The sequence below is a fragment of the Homo sapiens genome, chromosome 1, assembly GCF_000001405.40.
Source record: "Homo sapiens chromosome 1, GRCh38.p14 Primary Assembly".
Classification (NCBI taxonomy): Eukaryota; Metazoa; Chordata; class Mammalia; order Primates; family Hominidae; genus Homo; species Homo sapiens.
Window position 1 is genome coordinate 209,598,322 of NC_000001.11, and position 22,902 is coordinate 209,621,223.

Here is a 22,902-nt window from a genome sequence, read left to right on the forward strand (position 1 = left end):
ACTGGTACAGAGTGATCACCACCACCTAAAATTGAGAGACGAGTCTTTTTGTTCTCACTGTATCTGCACTCTGTCCCATCTGCTACCTCCAGCTGCCACTCCAGTGTGCCATCCTGAGTCACATTGAAAGTGGCATGAATTGACTCTGTAGTGGCTTCTTTTTAGTGGGCATGCCAAGTGAAGAAATCTCTCCACAGCTGCAGTGGAGTCTCTGTCTCTAGGGGTCATTCCCAAACTATAGAACCAGGAAATAACACCTGCCTAGCCCCTGAATCTGTGGTGGCATCTTTTTCTTCCAATATGGTCTTCAAATTAGAAAGCACATTAGCATGTCAGATACAACTGCCATCAACATAACTCAGCAGCGCCCACATGACAATGAAGAGTAATTATCAGTCCTTCCCTCATCTACCCTTTCACTTTGCCTCTAAGTTTGATTGTTTAACTTTTTAGTTGGAAATAATTTCAAACTTAGAAAAACGTTTCAAAAATAAGAATAACGCCAGGCTTGGTGGCTCATACCTGTAATCCCAACGCTTTGGAAAGCCAAAGGAGAAGAGCTGCTTGATCCCAGGAGTTCAAGACCAGTTTGGGCAACTGGGTTAGTCTATTTTTATACTGCTATGAAGAACAGCTTGAGACTGGGCAATTTATAAAGGAAAGAGGTTTAATTAACTCACAGTTCAGCATGGCTGAGGTGGCCCCAGGAAACTGACAATCATGGCAGAAGGTGAAGGGGAAGTAAGGCACCTTCTTCACAAGGCGGCAGGAAGAAGTGCCAAGCAAAGGGGGAAGAGCCCCTTATAAAACCATCAGATCCCGTGAGAACTCACTCACTATCCTGAGAACATCATGAGGGAAACTGCTCCCATGAGCCAATCACCTCTACCTGGTCTCTCCCTTGACACATGGGGATTATGAGGATTATGGGGATTATAATTCAAGATGAGATTTGAGTGGGGACACAAAGCCTAACCAGATCAGCAACATAGTGAAGCCCCATCTCTAAAAAAATAATAAAATAAAATAAGAATAAGAATGGTAGAAAGAATTTCCAAATGCCCCCTGCCCAGATTCACCTCTTGTTCACAATTTCTCCCATCTGCCTTCTCATTGCTATGTTCTCTGTAGATCTGTAGAGATAGATGTAGAAAGATGATTCTTTCCTAATCTCCCAAGCGTTAGTTGTGGACAGACATCATGAACCTTTACCTATCAAGGACATTTGTGTATATTTCTAGGGATGGGGTATTCCCTTACGTGACCATAGGACAGTTCTCAACTTCAGTCAATTGAACATGGACACATTAAGTGTACCTAGTCTGTCTTCCCTACTCCAGTTTTATCAATTGACCCTATTATGTGTTTTATAGCATTTTTCCCCTCCAGTACAGGTTCCAGTCTAGGGTCTGATATTTCACTTGGGTGTTATCTCTCCCTAGCTTTTTTATGACATTGGCATTTTGGAAGAATACAGGTTCCCCCCTTCCCTTTTTTAAATTTTGTGCTTTCCTGATGTTTCTTCCAGATTTAAATTCAGTATATGCCTTTGTGGTCAGAGGACTATATAGACTCTGTTACGTCCTTTCTGAGGTCTTACATCTGGAAGTGTAAGATGTCTGCCCCCTACTAAGTTTTATCTTTTGGTGTCTTCTCCTCAGAGGAGCTTTCTCAGAAGTTTTCCTGGTGAAGCAAAGACTGACTGGGAAGCTCTTTGCTCTGAAGTGCATCAAGAAGTCACCTGCCTTCCGGGACAGCAGCCTGGAGAATGAGATTGCTGTGTTGAAAAAGTGAGTGGGTCTTAGTGTTGACTGGATCACTATGGGATCACAACATTTTCTTCACAAATTACCTTCAAAAAGGACTAGGACTGGATTTCTGCACCCAAAGGCATTGCTCACTTTGATTGAGTTGATGGGTCAGTTCAGTCAATTAGCTAAGTTTAGTCGGACAGCTGTCCTAGCTGATTTTTTTTTTTTTGGCAACAAATTGATGAGCAAATCCACTGGTGGCAGAACTGGTTTGTGCACACAGGCTGGAGAGTAATTAGCTCAAAGGAACAAAAATCAATTGAGGGCCAACATCAGGAACAATTAATAATTAAGGAGGCAGCATAAGATTTGGAAATTAGCTTCAATTTATAACAAAGCAAATGGAGGTTCAGCACCCCAACCATCTTGATGAAGGCAACACTACAAATCATCATATGTTTACAGCAAGACTCTTACCACAGACCCTTGTGAAACCCTTATGGTGTACCAAAAGTGTATTAGGCACATGAACACAGGATCAGAACCACAAGGATGAGGCAGACAAAATTCCTTACCCTCAGGAGCCTATGCTGGATACAGAGGTGCCTATAAGAAAATCCAACAAAATCGGATGTGAGTCACACTAGCAGAAGGCAGAGTTTGGAGGAGATAAAGATTCATTTTGCCTATGCATATGTTTTTATGAGTATGAGTTATTGGACCACTTTCAAAGAAGATGGACCTTGATAGATGAGTCAAACTTTGTGGGGGCAAGAAAGGCAATGCAGAAAGGGAATTCAGGCCAAGACTAGCATAAACTTTAATGTAGAACCATGAAAGTGCAAGGGCTTTTAGGGAAGAGTGAGTATTGGAAATCCCTGAATTTAGAGTATATAGTATTAAAAGACAAGTGATGAAACTAAAATCATGAAATGAGACCTGATTACAAAGGATCTTAGATGCCATGATAAGGAATGTTGGCTTTATTCTGTGGGCAAAAAGAAGTCATCAAAGGATTTTAAGTGAGGAGTCACATTGTCTGATTAACATGTTGGAGCTATCCCTCTCAGGCACAGTGGAGGATGGATTGGAGGGTGCCAGCCTAGAGGACAGGAGGCTAATTATAAGACTTTCACAATAATTTAGGCATGGGTTGAGAATACAAGCAAAGGTAGTGGCAGAATCATATGTGCCTAAAAGGACTAGATACTAGAGATGTTTCAAAGAGAGAAGTGATTGGGTTTGGGGTTGACTAGTGAAAGTATACAGGACAAAAGCATAAAAAGAGACCCTGAGATTGAGCAATCAAGTGGACAACAATATAATTGCTAGGGGTGGAGAACAAAGAGGATATGTAGGCTTGGATGAAATAGAAAGAAATTGGTTGGAACATACTGAATATGAGTATCCACCTATCTCAACATGAAGGCATTTCATAACATGCTGGAGACACAGGTCTAGGATCCAGGGATATTAGGGCAAAGAAAGACTCTCAACTAATTGAGAGCAAGGACCATGTCATTTTTCTTATTATTGCCTTGTATCAACAGTATTTGTGCTCAATAAATGTTTGTTCATTGAGTGAATAATTGATAAATTAATGTTAGCATTGCCAGCTTCTGAGTATAGTTGAATTCATCAAGAGACAACTGACACAGGTCTATATTTTCTAAAATATCGTAAAGAAGATAGCTACTATTGATTATGTGTTTACTATTACCCAGACACTGTATTAAGCATTATGCATTATCTCCTTTTATCCTGATACAATTCTATAAGAGACACATACTTTTCAGACAAGGAAAGTAAAGATTTGAAAACTGGAATAAGCCAGCTGAAGTTATCTAATTGCCTGAGCTAGATCTGAACCCAGGCCTGACTGACTCTGAGCCTAAGTCCTTAACCCCTGTGCTGCACAGCCAGGAGTAAACTTCCTAGAGAATTTCCTCCTTTACAGGCAGGCACAGCATTGCTGCCTGGCAAGCCGAGCCCCTCTGCTAATATGATTATTCTGCTTGACTCAGTCTCTGAGTAACCCCAAACAAGGGTAATGTAGGGCTGGACTTCTCCACCATGATGCTGTCGACATTTTGAAACAGATAATTATTTGTGGTGCTGGGGGCTGTACTGTGCAGTGTTGGATGTTTAGCAGCATTTCCGCCTCTACCCACTAGATGCCAGCAGCACCTTCCCCTGCCCTAGTCGTGACAATCAAACATGTCTCAAGATATTGCCAAATGTTCCCTGAGAGGCAAAATAGTCCCTGGTTGAGAATCACCATCTAAGTCATCCCACAGAACTAACCCTAAAAATAAGCATCTACCTTGCTTCTCGCAATATCTTGGAACACTAATTTTTCAACACTTCCTCCGTGGTTATCCATGAGGAGGCTCAGCTCACCTGAATCCCTCCCATTGTATACAGGTTGAGCATTCCTAATCTAAAATCCAAAATGCTCCAAAATCAGAAACATTTTTAGCATTGACAGGATGCCACAAATAGAAAATTCCACAGCTGACCTCATGTGACAGGTCACAGTCAAAATGTATTCAAAGCTTTATTTCATGCACAAAATTATTTTTTAAATATTATGTAAAATTACCTACCAGCTATGTGTATAAGGTACACATGAGACATAAATGAACTTCATGTTTAGACTTGGGTCCCATCTCTAAGGTATATCATTATGTATATGCAAATATTCCAAAAACTCTTCTAGTCTCAAACATTTTAGATATGGGATACTCAACCTGTACTTTTTAAGTGCAATATTTCTAACATCTGAATACCTACTTTGTAGAATAACCTAGTGTTGGGTACTCCCTTAGCCTTCCTCCATTCTTCTAACTGTCTCTTTTAGTAAAGTTTAAAGAGATTCCTGGCATAACAAGGAAGTGTTTGTTTCCTGAAGGAAGGATGATCAATTATTCATTCAGTAAACACGGACCGAGCACCTCCACAGGAATCTTTTCTCTGGGATTAATTTGTGACAGTCTACTTATTATGAAGGCTTCACAGAGACCTAGTCTTCCTAAACATTGCCATCAAAAGCCTCCAACAGAAACTTTTGGGCTAGGTCTGCATTATTTGTCTGTACAACCTGAACCACATACCTTTCATCATGCACTTTATTTTTCCCAGGATCAAGCATGAAAACATTGTGACCCTGGAGGACATCTATGAGAGCACCACCCACTACTACCTGGTCATGCAGCTGTAAGTAAAAGGTGACTTGCTTCCTTCACAGAGGCCTGGTGGGGCCTGGGAGGCCTACAGGAGGTTGGTCGCTGGTGAGGGATGGACAGCAATTCAAAGACAAAAATGAAGACTTCATTCAGGAGGCTCAGAAATGCCAAGGGTCCTTTTAGACTGAGTGTGCCTCTGGTCATGGGCAGGTTCTATGTGGGCCACAGGGTAAACCTGGGCTGATTATTAAGCTCCTTTGCACCAGGACAACCCTATCAGTGGTTAGAATATTTCCTACCAGTCAGCAAATAGCTGCGACCCCAACCCATCCATGTCCTTCTGCTGCCCCACCCCTCCTCGCCCCTTGCAACCAAACGACCGAAGGGGTAATGCCAGACTAACAAGGAGTCACCAGAACCCTTTTCTGGCACTGTGGCTTCAGTCCTTTTGGACCAATACATGTTAATCAAATTGGATAGTAAATGTTTTAACATCACTCCAGCATAAAATTACTGTAGGAGCAGAAGCCACAGGTAGATATATTTCAATATAAAGAAAGATTTTCCCAAAACAGAGTCACCCAAAGTTAAAGACAGGCTGTGATTGTATGTGTCCATCTGTAGGACAGAAGTGGTGCTTCATTAGCAAGGTCTCTGCGTCATTGCTGCATCCAAACAACAGCTCTGCCTGACAGCAACTGCTGTAGAGGTTGGTCAGTGTTCATAAGGGCTCAGCATTGGGCTCAAAGACACTTCTGTTTATAAAGTACACACACACACACAAATACACACACTTGCACATGCACAGACATACACGCACTCACACACCACTCTGCAATCTCAGCGTGGCTGGACACAACGTGGTTTTTGGCTGATGGGCTGATTACTAAGAAACTTTAACGAGATAACTCAGGCCTAAGCACCTGATTAACTGGGGGCTTATCTGAGGACCTCTAAAGAGAGGTAGCAGGCAGTCAAGGGAGTGAGGTGGAAAGGGCCCCTAGTGGCACTAACAAGTGATCAGGGACCATCAGGCACTACAATGAGGCCAAGCCAACAGGATTAGCACACAGTAATTCAGAAGGCAGGGAGGCAAGGAGATGGGAAGAGTTGGATGTCCCTGAGGAGACACTAAGCCTCCTCAGAGCATAGCTCCAGGACTCAGGCCCCTCAGGGTTAAGAATTCATAGCTCTGTACAAAGAGTGTATTTCCTACAGGCCTTCAGCTACTATAGGAGCGCCCAAAGCCTAAAGACCAAAAGCCAAAGAGCAGGATGAGGTAAATTTTGATCGGAGAAATTCTTTTCCCTCATCACTAGTTGGGCATGGATGGCCACATCTAATGTCATGGGACAGTGGTAAGGGGGACTAGGAGGGTGAGAGGACTGGAACCCCTGGCTCACGGTTGAAATAGTCTGGGAATGCTTATCTCAGAGAAGGCAAGCCCTCCGGAGAGCATTTCACTATCTTTGTATACTTGAAAGGTGCACAGGAAAGGCTGTTATTCTTGTTCTGTGCAGTCCCGATGGGTGGAATTGGTAGCACTGGTAGAAATGACAGGGCATCAGGTTTCAACATAATGTGCAGAAACATTAGGAATATTCCAAAAAACACTCTGTCTTAGGAGGAAGAGTGTTCTCTGACACTTATGTGTTCTAGTACTCACTAGAAAACTTCTAGGCAAAAATAGAGTAGATGGTATTCATGAGATAGAAGTCAGACTTGATCTTTAAGCTCCCCTGGGTCCTAAGATACTCTACCATTTGAGTCTCAAAGCACCCCTAAAGCCCTACCTGTAATTCCAGCTTTATGAAGCCCAATTTCCCAAAATGAGAAGAGAAATCTTGATATAAGTACGGTTAGTCTCACTTGCATGCCTTCTCTTTCCTACTTTGCTTAATTTCTGTGTTACCTCTCTCTTTCATCATGGCTTCCTGTGTCATAGGCCAGGAAGGAAGGTGGCTAAGAAGTGTGTCCACACTAAGGGATTATTGGCTTCTTGTGCAGCCCCAACCAGAAGCATTTACATTTTAAAGGAAATTTTCAGAGAGAGAGGTCAATGCTTGGCCCAAAGAGATGACTGCCTAGTGATATCACTCCAGGTACCCAGAGTGGGTGTTCTGAGACTGGAGTAGTCTGCTGGCAGCCCTTCAATCACAGTTCATGGGGGCCTGCCTGTTCCACTGCAGCTGTGTCCCCCAAGGCTTCAAAGCAAACACCTTCTCATTACTTTGAGTGAAATGAGAACTGAATTCCTGTCTTGATCCTATGCCCACAGTGTTTCTGGTGGGGAGCTCTTTGACCGGATCCTGGAGCGGGGTGTCTACACAGAGAAGGATGCCAGTCTGGTGATCCAGCAGGTCTTGTCGGCAGTGAAATACCTACATGAGAATGGCATCGTCCACAGAGACTTAAAGGTGTCAAGGCGGGAGTCCTGGGTGGGAAACAGATAATGACCCTTAAGGAAGCTGCATGGGTCATGGGACATCTAAGCTCCATAAAGTAAGAGGGTTGGACTAGTGACTCCCAAGGCCCCTTCTGCCCTTAGATTCCTTAAACAGACCTTGGATGAGTGAACAATGGTTACTAATTTGCACCTCAATTTTTCCTGAAACTTTCACTATGCCTTACCCTATTTCAATACCAAAATAATACACACATTTCTTACATCCAGCCACAGTCAAAACCCAATGCAACAAAATATTTACTGAGGGCCTACATTGTACTAGGCCTTGCACTGGACTCTGGAGAGATCAGACACCATTAACCAAAGATTGGTTCTCTCAAAACACAAACAGGGTAGTTGGAAGTGAGGGAAGGAAAGGGTGAGTATATTAATGTTTACAAGACCGAGCAAAGTCAGAGCCATAAGCAAGGTGCAGACTACTGGGGTGCAGGTGTGAGGGTGCAGGTAGGAGGAAGAAGGGAAGAATGGGGGAGGATGAGCTGGCCTTGAAGTCAGGAGCCCAGGGCTCATCTTCCTGTGAAATTTTGTATCAAGGGGAAGGAAAATACTTGCTTCAGGTGGTTATATCCTACACTACATATTTTTTCTCCTACAGCCCGAAAACCTGCTTTACCTTACCCCTGAAGAGAACTCTAAGATCATGATCACTGACTTTGGTCTGTCCAAGATGGAACAGAATGGCATCATGTCCACTGCCTGTGGGACCCCAGGCTACGTGGGTAAGTCTGGGAGCAGGAGGAAGGTTGACCAGTTGGCTACATTCAACCACATGCCTATCATTCATAGAAAGGGGTGATTCTGAGAACATAGGGTTCAACTTCAGGGGCTATCCTGGTAGGACATCCACTTATAAAGTTTAGGGCCAGCCAATTCATCCGTCTCAGGATCTATCTCTACTGCTCCCAAATTCTACATTTTTAAAGACCGCCTACCCCTGAGCCCTCCAGAGTCCCTGCCTATGCTTTGGCTCTCATTTCTGCGGATAGACTTCCAGCCTTTGTCTTTCCAGCTGGACCAGGGGCAGACAAGATCACAAACCCAGAGATCAGCAGAGAGCTGAGGGGTTGAGCACCAACCCTACTCCTTTCTCCCACTCTGAAGGAGACATTAGCCCCCAGTTCTTGGGAGCCTGGAAGCACAGGATATTGAATTTGGGCCTGAGGAACCCAGAAATGGGCTCCTAAATGTCCACCCAAGGAAGCACTCTGGGAAATTGGCAAAGGTGGAGCTTCCTGCTTGAACATCCCTGTAGGTTTCCAGGGCCCCCAAAAAGAGTGAGAGCAGGCAGGGCACCTGGAAGAGTATTCCTGGGATCTACAGGAGACAAAGTTGAAACTCAGAGCATCCGCTCCTGTCCCTTCCCACTTCACCAGTCGTCACCTGTTTGCAGTTGGGTAATGGGAAGCAGAGCTCTGACTCAAGAGAGGGAATCTACCCTCCCAGAAAGGCAGGTCATTCACTCCTCAGTAGGTATTGAGTCCCACCAGGTACAAAGCTCTGGTAGCTGCAAGAAATACAGAAGGCAGCTCTCTACACCCCACAGGGCTCCTAATCAGAGGAAGTCATGGCTCATGCCCTCTGAAAGCTCTCTATCTGATGGGACAGACTAAATGCCTCCCCTCAGAAGGTACCCACAGTCTGATGGGAGACATACTGCCTTTGCTCTGGGAGCTCCTAATCTAATGGGGGTGACTCAGTCTCTGCCTCCCAGAGGCTCCCAGTCTAGTGGAGGAGAGACAGTCCTACACTGAAGATCTCCCAGTCTGAAGGGAGAGAGATCACACTTGCCCTGGGAATCCCCTATCTGAGTGGGGAGACAGGCCCTGCCTTCAGAGAATACTCAGTGTAATCAGGGAGACATAGCCCTGGAGATCCCCAGTCCAACAGGTGAGTCATCGACCCTGTCATGGGGAAACTCACAAACTAATGCAGAAGTCACAGTCTCTCTTTTCAGGAAGATTTAGTCTTCCCAGAAGAGACACAGCCCCTACCCTTAGGGAGTTTTCAGTCTCCTAGAAACCCCACCATCCCACAGTCTTCCCCAGACCTCTTCTCTAAGCCTGGCCTTCAGCTCCCACCCCAAAGCCCTCTCCTCTTGCCACCAGCCCTGACTCTGCCCTTGGTCTGCTGCAGCTCCAGAAGTGCTGGCCCAGAAACCCTACAGCAAGGCTGTGGATTGCTGGTCCATCGGCGTCATCACCTACATATTGTGAGTAGACGCTGGCCTGGGTTCAGCTGATGAGAAGTCTCGGAGCCTGCTTACCCCTTCTCGTTCCCTCCCCTGTCTCAGCTCCTCCTCCAAGCACGTGCATGTGCACAAACAGACACAGGCACAGGGGCACACGGGTACACACACACACACACACACACACATACATGTACACACAGCTTAAAAGCTTCCTCTCTCTTCACCTCCACCAAGTTTTAAAACAGAGCTCAGCGTGAATCCACTGCACAGCCACCTGGCACTCCCTCCTCTTGCACCCCTGCCCCTTTTACTGCCTATAAATGTGTTGCATCCCACTCAGTGGAATGAACAGTGAAAAAGAGAGAGGCCAAGCCAGGCTTGGAAGCCAGGTGGACCCTCTGTTCCTACATCTCAGCTTTCCCAAGGCAAAACTGTGGCCTGGATAAAGCTGGTCAGGGCCTTTCCTTTTCGCTCCTCTCCACACATTCCCAAGCTCTCCCTTTCCTAACCTGCCCATCACCTCTTCCCCACCATCCCTCCTCACCTATAGCAAACTTTGCTCTTAGGAAAATAACCTGGTTTCAATTATCTCCTCCATTTATGTTGAATAAGTACTCTCATTTATTTACCCAACCAATATTCACTGCCTATCTACTCTGCATCTATCCCTGTGCTAGGTTCTAAAGAATCCCGCAGTGAACAACACAGCCTAAATAAATCCTTCATCAAGCTTACATTCAAGTAGACAGTCTACCAACTTTCTTAAACATATTTTATATAGCATTCATAAGTCAGGGAAAGTATAAGGAGAGGTGGCAAGGGTTGGAGGGCATAATGTACACAGGGACCTTCTAGGGATGACTGTGCCAAGGCTTGGCACTTGCATAAACACTTTACGGGACCTGTACCATTCTGGAATTTGAGGCAGATCTGCGTCCTGGTCACACCACTGTTCTGGGACCTTCAGTGCCCACCTGTGTATACAGTGGGAGCTTGGGGGAGCAGAGAGGCTGGCTCAGGGAGGACAGGTTTGTTCAGTAGTATGCCTCCTTCCTGTCCTGCTGCAGGCTCTGTGGATACCCCCCATTCTATGAAGAAACGGAGTCTAAGCTTTTCGAGAAGATCAAGGAGGGCTACTATGAGTTTGAGTCTCCATTCTGGGATGACATTTCTGAGTCAGGTAAGGCCAGTAGGCATGAAGGAGAGATAACAGGCTCAAGGTAGAGGCTGCCAAGAGAAATGAGCTTAACAAAGGATGACAGTCCCGGCTCTTCAAAGTCCCTGGGGATCTTACAGAACAGGCTGCCAAGGAAAGTGGAGAAATCTTCGTCTGCTTCAAAGACCCGATAAATTATTTACATCTAAGAGCTATGCTTTTGTTTTTCTGGAGGCAGAACCACAGTATGCCTGAAAAGGAGATGGGGGGGCAGTTTAGAAGATGGGCCAGGAGGGCAGAGCCAGGTGGTGAGGGGAGAGTTCCAGACAAGAGCAGCAAAACTAAGGGGTTAGATATCAAGAAAGAGCATGCAATGTCTATGTGTGAGAGAAGATGATCATTACGTGATTGTTGGACCTGTTAAGTGGAAATCAGAGCTGGAACAATCCAGCACTCACATGCGTGCCCATGTGCCAGCGCTGGCCCCTGTTTCAGTGCAAACACATGCACATGTGATGTGCAGGCACATGGGGGCCTTGTGACTAGTGACGCTTCTGCAGTGCTGTGTGGGTGAGGCGGCTTGGAGCTTCCCTTCTTTGGTGGTTTATGGTGGGTTGTTGTTAGGTGGTTTGGATTTTTTTTCCTCTTCTAAGACTCTTAAAATTGCCTCTTTGGAAGATCAGCTAAAGATGCATTCACTGCCACCCACCAGCCCGGAAGTGAATTTCCATCAGTCATGAAATCTGGTCCTTAGTCGTCGTGTCTTTGATTACTCCCCTTAGCCAAGGACTTTATTTGCCACTTGCTTGAGAAGGATCCGAACGAGCGGTACACCTGTGAGAAGGCCTTGAGTCATCCCTGGTGAGTGAGACATGGAGTGGACTCTAGACCCCAGCCCTGTAGTTCCCAAAACCATGCTGACTCATTCATATTGCATTTCCCTGGAATCTGCTTGTCCTGATCCATTTAATGATGTGACAAGCAAGGACCATGCCATTGTTCATCAGGCCCAGGTAGAGATTCAAACATTATACAGTGGAGCAGGTTCTAATGCAAGGGTAGCAGCTGGGTTGTCTGGTCAAGTGCAGGAGGCAGGTGCAGCCGAGCGCTGTCATTCAGCACTGGGATAGGGTGCAATGTTCAGTACTAGTTATTCAAGAAGTGCCAGGAATGGGCAACTCTGTCCTGTCCTTTAGAGCTTTGTTTTACTCAGGGATCAATAACTGTTCCAGGTGAAGTGATTTAAGAACAACTGCAAAGCAACCGATTGGCAAAATAGGAAAAAGAAAATCTTAAAATATTTTTTCATGTTACTTCCCAACTCAATTTACAATAGCTCCCCACTTCATACCCCAGCAAGCCTGGATTCCTTTGTCTTTCCAGTTTCCCTAATATGGCCTGACCCTTTATCTCCAGCCTCTTTTCCCAGGATTGCCAGCATACCTCCTCTGTCCAGATAGGCCTGGGAGCTATATCTGTCTCACCCCACATACCAAGCTCTGTCTTAACTACACCTTGGATCAGATCATTCCCACTACCTACAATGTCCTGCCTCTTGCCCTGTATGTAGCATCTTTCAGGATCCAGATCAGTCTCTGCCCTTCCCTGAAGCCCCTGACCCCTGCAGCCCAACCCAATCTCCCCAGTTCTCTTTATTAATCACACGGCTTACCATGTATTACTGCAGTCCATAGCATGAACAACACCCGACATCTAGACTGTAGGCTCCTAGGGGTCAGGGCCCATGTCTCTTACTTCTCGAGGTCTATTAGTAGTTGGCACAGTACTATGCACACAGCAAGTGTCTGAGGAACACTTAGAGACCAGTGAATAAGAGGCTAAGGGGATAGGAAAGGGGCAGCCTGTACCAGACGGCCTTACTGAGGAAGGCTTCCAGGAGGAGGTGGGTTCTAGGCAAGGTTTTGAGCTAAAGGATGGTGACTACCCCAGTGCCCTGTGATGCTGGGTCCAATAAACTTTTTCTATAAAGCATCAGATAGTAAATATTTTAGGCTTTCCTGGCCATACTGTCTTTATGGCAACTACTCAACCCTGCTGTCACAGTGCAAAAGGAGCCACAGACAATACCTGAATTAATGGGCACCACTGTGTCCCCATAAAACCTTATTTACAAAAACAGGCAATAGGTCGATTTGGCCTATAGGCTATAGCTTGTTGACCTTGCTCTAAAAGTTTTTGATTTTGCCAAAGCTAAAGCCGACTCTTACTTGCCCAGGGGCACAGAGGAGACCTGCTTGCAGCCCTTTCCTGCTGTGGGCTGTCTTTCCTCTGCACACTCTACCCAGCTCTCACCTAGACCTGCAGGCACCCTGCCCACTCCCTGGATGAGTGTAAATAGCCACCCAGTAGCCAGGTGTCCCCTCTTACATCCACAGGATTGACGGAAACACAGCCCTCCACCGGGACATCTACCCATCAGTCAGCCTCCAGATCCAGAAGAACTTTGCTAAGAGCAAGTGGAGGGTAAGCTGTCCTCTCCAGGGGGTGGGAAAGCTGTTCTGGGCCCCTGGAGGCTGGGCTGGCAGGGGCTGACATAAGGGCTTTCCTTGGGATGTCCCAGAAGGCATTGGAGCTCCGTGTACCCTCTCTGAAATGAGAAGTGGGCACCCAGGTTTCAAGAGGCCACAAGGCAAAGGGAAAGTTTAAGCTCCAAGGCCCTCTGAGGTTGCAGAAGGCCAGAGGCTGCTCTTGTGTCTCCTTAGCAAGCCTTCAACGCAGCAGCTGTGGTGCACCACATGAGGAAGCTACACATGAACCTGCACAGCCCGGGCGTCCGCCCAGAGGTGGAGAACAGGCCGCCTGAAACTCAAGCCTCAGAAACCTCTAGACCCAGCTCCCCTGAGATCACCATCACCGAGGCACCTGTCCTGGACCACAGTGTAGCACTCCCTGCCCTGACCCAATTACCCTGCCAGCATGGCCGCCGGCCCACTGCCCCTGGTGGCAGGTCCCTCAACTGCCTGGTCAATGGCTCCCTCCACATCAGCAGCAGCCTGGTGCCCATGCATCAGGGGTCCCTGGCCGCCGGGCCCTGTGGCTGCTGCTCCAGCTGCCTGAACATTGGGAGCAAAGGAAAGTCCTCCTACTGCTCTGAGCCCACACTCCTCAAAAAGGCCAACAAAAAACAGTACGTATTTTTAGCCAAAGATGGAGCCCCAGCTTGGGTCTGAAAGAAATCGGTCAACAGGACTGAAAGAAATGGACACAAAGGCCTCTCCCACTCATAGGCAGCTATATAGGGAGGGATGAGTTCTGGATGAGGGGGCAAGGAAAATGCTTCCAGCCCTGTCCCCATCACTTACTAGTTGTGAGGCCATTGACGAGTCAATGTCTCTGCTTCTATTTTGCTCATCTGTAAACTGGGTTGAAGTCTATTTACCCAATTAGCCTGCCTCACAGAGGTACTATAAAAGGTTAGTGAAGCAACAGAGATGATAAAAGCCCACAGAAAACTGGGTATTTGCAAGTGGTGAGCATCAGATTCCCCGAGTTTCCAGGGCCTCTGTGCTTTGCAGAAGGAAGTGTAGGGGGGCTTGGTTATCTTTATCTTTTCTGCAGGTTCTTGAACTTTCTGAACCTCATGAGGGGAGAGCTGAGTGGATGCCACAGGCACAGAGAACTACCACCTCTGCCCTGCCCCATCGACTCTTCTTCCCTCAAATACTTCAAAGGTTGTTGCTTCATTTCCTTTCTAGGAACTTCAAGTCGGAGGTCATGGTACCAGTTAAAGCCAGTGGCAGCTCCCACTGCCGGGCAGGGCAGACTGGAGTCTGTCTCATTATGTGATTCCTGGAGCCTGTGCCTATGTCACTGCAATTTTCAGGTTAGGAGGGTCACAGTGTGAGGCTTGGGGAGAGTTTCTGTCCCAGAGGAGAGCCCCATGCCAGAGTGTGAGTGATGGGGTCTGAGGTGGCAACCCCCTCCTCACTCTGAGCCCCTTTCTCTTGCAGGAGACATATTCAACTCCTCTGCTCTTCCAAACCTGGTGTCTATCCGGCAGAGGGAGGAAGGCAGAGCAAGTGGAGCAGGGCTTAGCAGGAGCAGTTTCTGGCCAGAAGCACCAGCCTGCTGCCAGCGGGGCAGCCCCTCATAGGAGGCCCAGGAGGGAGCCCCAAGGCGTAGAAGCCTTGTTGAAGCTGTGAGCAGGAGAAGCGGTGCCCACCAGCTTCCAGGTCTCCCTGACCTGCCTGCTCTATGCCCCACACCCTACGTGCCGTGGCTCTGTGCAGTGTACGTAGATAGCTCTCGCCTGGGTCTGTGCTGTTTGTCGTGAAAAGCTTAATGGGCTGGCCAGGCTGTGTCACCTTCTCCAAGCAAAGCCATATGGAGCATCTACCCAGACTCCCACTCTGCACACACTCACTCCCACCTCTCAAGCCTCCAACCTCTTGGCCAGATTGGGCTCATTAATGTCGTTGCCTGCCCATCTGCATGAATGACAGGCAGCTCCCCATGGTGGTCTGCCTGTGAGCTCTTCAAGTTCTAATCCTTAACTCCAGGATTAGCTCCCAAGTGCGCTGAGACCCAGCCAGCACACTTCTGGCCCTTCTCCCTGCCTCAATCTAAAAGCAGTGCCACACCCTCCAAAGTGGAATAGAAAGAAGTTCATGAGTAAGGGCTGCAAGGAATTCTTATCCTGGCCACATGTCCTCCGTGCACACACCCAATGGAGTTAACCTTGGAAGTTGACTATTTTAATGTCTGCCAGGAGTTCTAATCCTGCCTCTGTTCCCTTTTCTCTCCTTGAAAGTCCAGCACACCATTCTTGTCCTTCCCCAGTTTCCTCGCCCTCCACCCCTCCAGCTTCATGCTCAGTGTTGTGCTTAATAAAATGGACATATTTTTCTCTATGAGGCTTCATTTGGTTCTTTCAAAGTCAGGAGCAGTTCAGGGACTTCTGAGCATGTCTGGAGTAGAGAGTGCATGGATGGCTGGGGTCAGCAAGGAACCAGCAGTTGTAGCTGATGTGCATACAGATGTGCATATAGCTGAGTATACAGTGCTCCAGGCACTGGACATGAGTTACATCATTAACTCATTACTTCTCACAACAACCCCTTGGGACAGGTTCTGTTGGAACCGAGGCAGTCTGGCTTTAGTGGCCATTCTCTTAATGGCTCTATTAGATGAGCATGAGTTCGAGCCCCAGCTCTGCCCCGACCTGCCATATCTGTGACCTTGGGGAAGTTACTTAGTCTTTCGTGCCTTGGTTTCCTCACTTATCCAATGGGAATAGCAGTGCCACCTGCATCATGAAATGATGCAGATGATGTGCCCAGCCTCGTGGCCAATAAATAATCAAAATGATTAACAATGATCAAGAAGTTAATGTAGATAAAATGTCTAGCACAGTGCCTGCTTGGGCCATGGTTAACACACAAATGTCCATGCCATTCCATATCATCCTCCACCCCACCCCCCACACATATCCATTTACAACTTCTCTTTAAGACCCCAAGAGACATAGATTCTAGTCTTAGTCCTTCCTCTGGAAGCTGCATGAATTTGAACGTTCCTTCCCTTCCCTGGATTTCTATTTCCCCATCTGTAAGCAAGAAGTTGAATCGCTGCTTAGAGATGAAAACTGCTTCTCTGGTCTCTCAAGGATAGAATCCATCAGGTTCTAGGGCAGAGGGGCCCAGACTCCCTAAATCTGGGTGCCCAGAAAGCCGGGTGGAACAGAGGAGAGCAAAATATGGGCTTGAATAGAGGAGTCCCCACAAACCCCAAATGGGAGACAGAAACAGTGGCAAGAGTTTACCCAGTGAGGGGACAGACTGTTTTTCCTCGTTGAACCTCCAGGCTCTTTTCCAAAGATTTTTATTTGGCTTTTCATTTTTACATCACTTTTGTTAAGTTTTTGTGCTTGGTCCAGGATTCCTCCCCAGTGGAGAACTAAAGGCGGGGGATACTGCCCAGCCCAGCTTCCTTGACTTGAGAGCTCTTAGTTTCAATGGCATGCCAATCTCCACCATCTTTGTCTGTCAAGTGTAACTGTCCCATTGGCTCAGGCTCAGCTGCAGCTCAGGGTAATCTTACTAGCTACACACCAGGGGTGGTCCAGGCTGTACTTTAGGCTGCATGAAAGTCTCCTGGAGATGGAAAGCATTCCAACCCAATCTGCCCCCAACCAAAAGCAAAGGCGGCAGATGAGTGGGGCAACGGGCTGGAAGCTGTAGCATCACTTGCAGGTGGCATAGTAGAGCACGCGCCCATTGATGTGGTCACGGATCTGCTCCACACGCTTCTCCAGTCCTGTCAGGTCCGCTGAGCGCAGCATGATGGCCTGGCTGCCCCGCAGCAGCTCCAACTCCATGTCTGAGGCAAATGGAACAGCAGCAGGAGGAGGAGTTGATGGTGAGACTCCCCAAGACTCCCAACCCTTCCTTCCCCTCCTGCTAACTGGAGGTAGCATGTGTAGAGGAATCCCCTCCAGAAAAATCTGGCCTCTAAAGCAGTGGTGCCCCTCCAGCTTCATGCCTCTCCAGCCCCATCCCATGCTTAGTAACCTGGCAGGGGCCAAACCCAGCAGGCTCCCACTCCTAATTATCCCTGGGCCCCTGACCCTCTGGGCTCTCACAGTTGTCCAAGGCTAATGAAGGAGGTCACAAACACCCATCATCATATCTTAGCGATGACTCTAGTTCCCAGGAGCCCCTGTTCTCCTTTCTAAGGAATTTTTGGAACCCTTTTGAAAGCTACTTTCATTATGTTTCTGTCATATTCAAAGCCCTTGGATGTGCCCTACCGCCTCCTGAGCTATCTACCCTCCTCATCCTCACACTAGAAGCCAGGCACAGGGACAAGTCATGTTGACCTCATGCCACTTCTTTCCTACCAGCTCCTCAGCAACCCTCTTCTCCTGTCCCTATGTCAGAACATATCTTGTTGGGGCTTCCCAACACCCTTATCCTAATGTCCCTCCTCTTCCTCACAGCTTCTCCCAGGCCTACACATCCTTCCAGGCCCATCTCAAATCTTCTTTTCTTACCTTCACTGAACATGTCTCTCTCAAATTATTTATTCCCTGAACCCCAGAACTCTTATTATTCAACCCCTATCAGAGACCACCTCATCCTGTTAAATATAATTCTATGCATCTTAAGCATAAAGCAATAGGAATAAAAAATATGACCCCACTGTTTGCAAAAACAGAGAAAATGGTCCCATTAATTGCAAGCTTTTTGAGGCCAGGACAAGTCATGGGACCATCTCTGCATTCCCCAGCCTCATACATGCTAGATGCCCAGAAAAAATCTCATTTGATCTCACTCCCATAGCACGGCTAGCTCCAATAAGAACGGGCTTCAGAAGCCTTGGGTTGGGTGGGACCAGCCTTCATGAATGCCCAATAGTCCATGCCCCTAAACCATTCCCTCACCTTTCATCCTGTCCATCATCTCCATGGTCTCCCCAAACAGCTCCTCTGCCTCTGTCTTCACACTCTGGATCCGGGCACCCTGCTCACCCAGCATGGAACTCTGACCCAACCGGTCCTTCAACTCAGCATACTTTTGTTTTATTCTCTCAAATCCCTGAAAAAGGTAGAATAGTCTCAGTGTCATTGTCATCATGCAAGGTCCTAAAGACCTGTGGCCAAAGCACTTGATATCACCCAAATCAATACACAGTGGGAAGGTGCCTCCTATTAGCCCCCAATAGCATTGGTTTTGCCTATTGAAACCCCTGAGCCACAGACTATGACTTAAACTTCTGTGTTTCCCTCTTCCCATCTCCAGCTCTTGACATGACCCACCTCACTCCCAGGACAATGTCAGTCACATCATAGGATATTAATAGTAGGCTGTCACTTAATAGCATACTTAGCAACTTGGTCACTGTGCCAGGATTGAAAGTGCCAATGTTCCTGGCCATAGCGGGAGCAGGTAGTGTGCTTGAGACACTGAGAATGGGCTCTTTGATCTTCTCTCTCATCTAATTCTGACAATCATGGAGCCCAGGTTAGGTTAAGCAAAGAGCATCTGTCCAGGCTGGGAATCCAAGAGACAAGCTCTGGATCCAGTGTCAGGGGACCTGCTTTGTAGATGATTCTTAGGCCTGTGAACGAGTCACCACCTCATCTGTAAAAGGAAAGGGACTGGACTAGGTCATCTCCAGTGTCCCTGAGCCAGCTATACCAAAAGCAGTGGAGGGAGAAATCAGATGCCTGGCCAGGTTTGGGTTGACTCTCAAGCCTCTTCTGGTTCTGTTATTCTAAGCACTTTTGAGTTTGTGGTCTTATAAAGTGTGCAAAGTCCTCCTCTGCTCAGGACCCCCTCACTGGCCGTACATCATTGAGCTAACTCCGCCTTCTCTGTACCTCTTGGGCACTCAATGCCTGCTCGCTGGCACCTTCCGCAAGCTGCTGGGCCTGGACTGCCTCTGCCCCCTGCTGCCGGGCTTGGTGGCGGAGCTCCTCCATCCGTGTCCAGAAGTCACCCAGCTGCTTGGTCATGCTTGTCACCAGCTTTTCTGCTGGCCGCAGTACCTGCTGAACCTTTGTGGAAAGAGGGAGATCTGGCCTTTGTGGTGGGTCTCATAGGTCGGGGGGTTCATCCCCATTTTTTCTCCAACTCATCAGGCAGCAAAAACCCTCTCCAACCAGAACAAACACAATTGCCCACCTCTCACCCCTCCTTCTGCATCCCAGCCACAAGACCAGAAAATCCAAGGCCCATAGCCTGCCCAAAGCTTGTCACTCTCCTCTAGAACTCCACCTCAGGTTTTATCTAGTCACTTTCTGGCATTTTCTATGCCTGGTGCCCAAATTTTCCTGTTTATGCCCAAATATGGGCGGAGGAAGCCATAATGCCTCACCTCAGCAACCCTGTCCTGGATAAGCCGAAGGGAGCGGCTGGTGCCTTGCATGGTGTCCTGAGCTTCCTGCAGTGCCACTGTCCCCTGCCGCAGGTTCCCAACCACATCTTCCACCTGGCCCTCCACTGCATGGGCTCGGCTCCTGGGTGAGAGAAGCAGCAGGGAGAGGAGAGAGAGAATGAGTGAACAGTGAATCAATGTGTGGTTCGACTCACACACCAGTCCAAAAGAACACCCTTCCCAGCCAAGGCAAAGAGCAAGGAAAGTATTAACTCAGTAGCTTTGATGTCCCAGGACCCCACCAAGCAGACGTGATGAATGTTCCCATTATGCCCAAGACACCTTCTGGGCGGTTTCCAATACGGAAGACACAGTCATGCAAATTAAGTTTAACCTGCACTCTGGACTCTGTGTACCACTCTCCACCATGGTAAGCACCCCCTCCTGTCTCCCAGCCCTCTGTACCCCTCTCCCAGCAACGGGGTTGAGGAGCAAAACGCCAGCTTAATCCTGGGCAGAGAGAAGTTCAGGGCCCAAGGCCATACCTGGCTTCCTCAGCCTCAGCCTGCAACCGGCGGGCACGCGCAATGTCCTGCTTGGTCTGGGACAGCACCAAGTCCACGTTGGGGAGCCTGGCTGCAATGGCCTGGATCTCATTCATCTTCTGCAGAACAGTAGCTGAGTCTGTGGGCAGCCACAGGGCCAGCACGGCCTCGCTGACCTCCTGGATAGTGGCTGCATCAGTGTCGGGGTCTGGAAGACAACACGCATTTGACTGTAGGAGCCCACTAACCTCCCCAGAGATACGAGGCCTCTCCTAGCTGAGCAGCACTTGTGGAAGGCACCCACAGTGGCCCCTCTACCGTGGTGTCCCAAGGAGCTGCTGCCCCCTTTCAACCAGACTCAGGCGCCTGTTCTCCAGGGATTTCTGGGAATGCTGTAGGAGGATGACTATCCTGTGCTCCATGCTGCAGCAGGGAGGAGGAGGGGTGTCGTCACAGCTGTGCCAACTAAGTGTCTGGTGCCACAGGAAGCTGCGGGCTGGGGAGAAGGAGGTGGTGCCAGACAGCTGGTACTGAACAATGCCTGCAGCACATGCACAATCAGCCCTAAATTGGGAAGAGTGGCCAGAAACTGGAGCTGCTTCCTTGGCAAAAAGACCCCTTCCCTGCATTCCCCCTCAGGCAAGATTGCTCATTTGTGCAAAGGCAAATAAGAATGATCAAGTCTCTGCTGGAATATCACCTTCTCAGGGAGGCCAACCCCAGCCATCCAATCTAGAATTGCAACCTCCACCCTGGACTGTAGCACACCTTATCGTCCCTCCCTGCCTTATCTTTCTGTCTAGCACTTGCACCACCCATGTGCCAAACACTGTACTCATTTAACTGGTTTGTTTGGTCTCTTTTCCTCTAGAATGTAAGCTCTACAAGGGCAGGGCCTGGGTTTTGTCCACAGCTATATCCCCAGACCCCAGCACAGTGCCTGGCACTTGGAGGTCCTCATGTGCGTAGAGTGAATGAATGATTGACAGGGCTTCAGGTTCAGATCTCTGCTTTACTATTCAAGCCACCTGGGCAAGTCAAGTGGTTCCTCTAAGCTCAGTTTCCTGATCGGTGAAAAAGGAATATCAATCCCCAATCTGAAGGTACAACATGAAACAATCCATTTGCAAGAGTTGTTACAAACCAACTCTGGGTCAGAGGGTAAGGTCAGAAGTACAGAGATGACATCTCCTCCCCATCTCTCCCAATTTGCTTTTACAGATTTCACTGGTATTGAGGTATTAAGGAGGGGGGCACCCACTCACCAGATGATTTGCCCTGGAATCTGAACTCCTCTGGGGCCCCAGGCCCAGTTTCACTCTACAACTAGAGGATACTAGCTGGTCACACAGGTCTCATTCCCTGCCCCATCCCATGCCAGGTGGAAGGACACTCCTGGAGGGTGGAAGCCATGCTTGTTCATTGCTGTGTCCCTCGGGGCTTGCATGCAGCATAACTGTGGTTGAGTTTCATTAAGTGGGTTTATCCCAGCAGCAAGCTTTCATAAGGACCTTCCTAATAGAGCTCGTCAACCTCTCTTCTAACCCAGAGTCCCACTCTCAAAACAAGGCTTCATGTGCACCTTCTCAAGAAAGCCTTCCAGGATGAGCACATCCCCACCTAGATCTTGCCCTTCCTTTACTCTGCACCACTTCAGCTGCATCCTCAGGGTCAATCGGTATGACATTCAGTCGCAGAGCCTTCTGGGTCTCAGGATGGGCTCAGTAAATATTTACTGCTTTGAGCAAAAGCATGGGAGGAGTTGAGACTGCAAATCAAATTAAACTCAGTCCCTGCCTTTATGGAGCTGGAAATCTAATGGGAGACAGGCACATGAACAAGGAAGTACAGCTTTGAGTGAGCGGAGTAAACACAGGTGCTATGATGGCCATGGAAGGGGCCCCCAGCGCCATCTGATAGGTCCAGGGAGGCTGCCTGGAGAGTGGGATGCCTAGATTCCTAGAGGATGAGCAGGAGCTAGACAGGTCAGCAGAGGTGGGAGAGGGGAGACGATCCAGAGAGAGGAAAAACATTCGCAAAGGCAAGAGGCAAGAGAAAGTGTGTTTGTGTATGCACACTCGCATGTGTGTATGTATTTGTGTGTCTATGCCGTAAAGCAATAGGGTGTGAATGACAGAGTCAGACAATTAGGCTTGAAGCCTACCTGCACCACTGCCAAGCTAGATGCCTTTAGGCAAGTTGCTTAACCTCTCTGTGCCTAGATTACTTGTGTGCAAAGTGGAAGTAATAAGAGTACTTAGTTCATGTAGTCAGGAATAAATGATGTAATACATGCAAAGCACTTGGAACAGTGCCTGGACTCAGTTAGAACTTAATAAGCCTTAACTATTCATTTTGTCAATTCCATTTGAAGAACTGGGAAAGGCGATGTTTCCTCCTCCCTCCACAGACTTTCCACTCTCCCTCCCACACTGTGACCCTATATCGGACAGCAGCCAGCGCTCAGTGGCTTCTGCACCAGGACTCTGGAGACCAGAGTCCAAGCCCACCGCTACAGAAAATTTTCCTGGGTTTCCCCCTGGGGCCAGGCCTCTCTCAGGCCCTGCTTTTTCTCTCTGACCCTGGACTCATCATAAGACTTGACCTGAGATACAAGTATAAGAGAGAGGACAAAAGGGGCCTGGCAGCTCCCTGTCTGTTCACATGAGCCTCAGCTGCACCCGGCAGGAGAGAATTCCAACTCACCTCCCACCCACTGAGGCCAGAGCCCTGGCTGAGATTAATGCAGGATGAGTGGCCATTCAGCCTCAC

The 22,902-nt window shown here is 48.1% G+C and overlaps 2 protein-coding genes across 9 annotated transcripts in view, besides 2 other annotated features; one reads left to right on the forward strand and one right to left on the reverse strand.

Annotated features, from left to right (window-relative positions):
• The window catches only part of CAMK1G (calcium/calmodulin dependent protein kinase IG), a 30,226-nt gene extending 14,608 nt beyond the window's left edge, over positions 1–15,618 (forward strand). For 2 of the 3 annotated variants that reach the window (XM_017001866.3, NM_020439.3), the window contains exons 3-13: positions 1,662–1,790; positions 4,893–4,967; positions 7,215–7,353; positions 7,999–8,122; positions 9,537–9,612; positions 10,659–10,771; positions 11,530–11,608; positions 13,144–13,231; positions 13,471–13,895; positions 14,464–14,591; positions 14,719–15,618. In XM_017001866.3, coding sequence (XP_016857355.1) covers positions 1,662–1,790; positions 4,893–4,967; positions 7,215–7,353; positions 7,999–8,122; positions 9,537–9,612; positions 10,659–10,771; positions 11,530–11,608; positions 13,144–13,231; positions 13,471–13,895; positions 14,464–14,554 — 1,339 coding nt within the window. In that variant the 3' untranslated portion in view covers positions 14,555–14,591; positions 14,719–15,618. Of the gene's footprint in view, positions 1–1,661; positions 1,791–4,892; positions 4,979–7,214; positions 7,354–7,998; positions 8,123–9,536; positions 9,613–10,658; positions 10,772–11,529; positions 11,609–13,143; positions 13,232–13,470; positions 13,896–14,463; positions 14,592–14,718 lie in introns of those variants that run through there. The other variant, XM_017001867.2, reaches the window with a different exon arrangement.
• Positions 9,536–9,694: a silencer, noted in NCBI's record as "fragment chr1:209781202-209781360 (GRCh37/hg19 assembly coordinates)". NCBI's record gives its function as "represses an EF-1alpha promoter that drives an FKBP-Casp9 reporter gene in an ReSE screen in phorbol 12-myristate 13-acetate-treated (for megakaryocytic differentiation) K562 erythroleukemia cells {active_cell/tissue: K562(+PMA)}" and the evidence as "EXISTENCE:reporter gene assay evidence [ECO:0000049][PMID:32094911]".
• Positions 10,813–12,012: an enhancer, noted in NCBI's record as "BRD4-independent group 4 enhancer chr1:209782479-209783678 (GRCh37/hg19 assembly coordinates)". NCBI's record gives its function as "activates an origin of replication core promoter dependent on BRD2, P300/CBP, MED14 and CDK7 cofactors, and independent of BRD4, by STARR-seq in HCT116 cells {active_cell/tissue: HCT116}" and the evidence as "EXISTENCE:reporter gene assay evidence [ECO:0000049][PMID:35650434]".
• LAMB3 (laminin subunit beta 3) overlaps positions 16,549–22,902 on the reverse strand; it is a 37,556-nt gene continuing 31,202 nt past the window's right edge. For all 6 annotated transcript variants that reach the window (XM_017001272.3, NM_000228.3, XM_047420351.1 and 3 more), the window contains 5 exons: positions 20,131–20,338; positions 19,586–19,727; positions 19,089–19,265; positions 18,150–18,303; positions 16,549–17,086 (listed from right to left, as the gene is read on the reverse strand). In XM_017001272.3, coding sequence (XP_016856761.1) covers positions 16,950–17,086; positions 18,150–18,303; positions 19,089–19,265; positions 19,586–19,727; positions 20,131–20,338 — 818 coding nt within the window. In that variant the 3' untranslated portion in view covers positions 16,549–16,949. The remainder of the gene's footprint in view (positions 17,087–18,149; positions 18,304–19,088; positions 19,266–19,585; positions 19,728–20,130; positions 20,339–22,902) is intronic.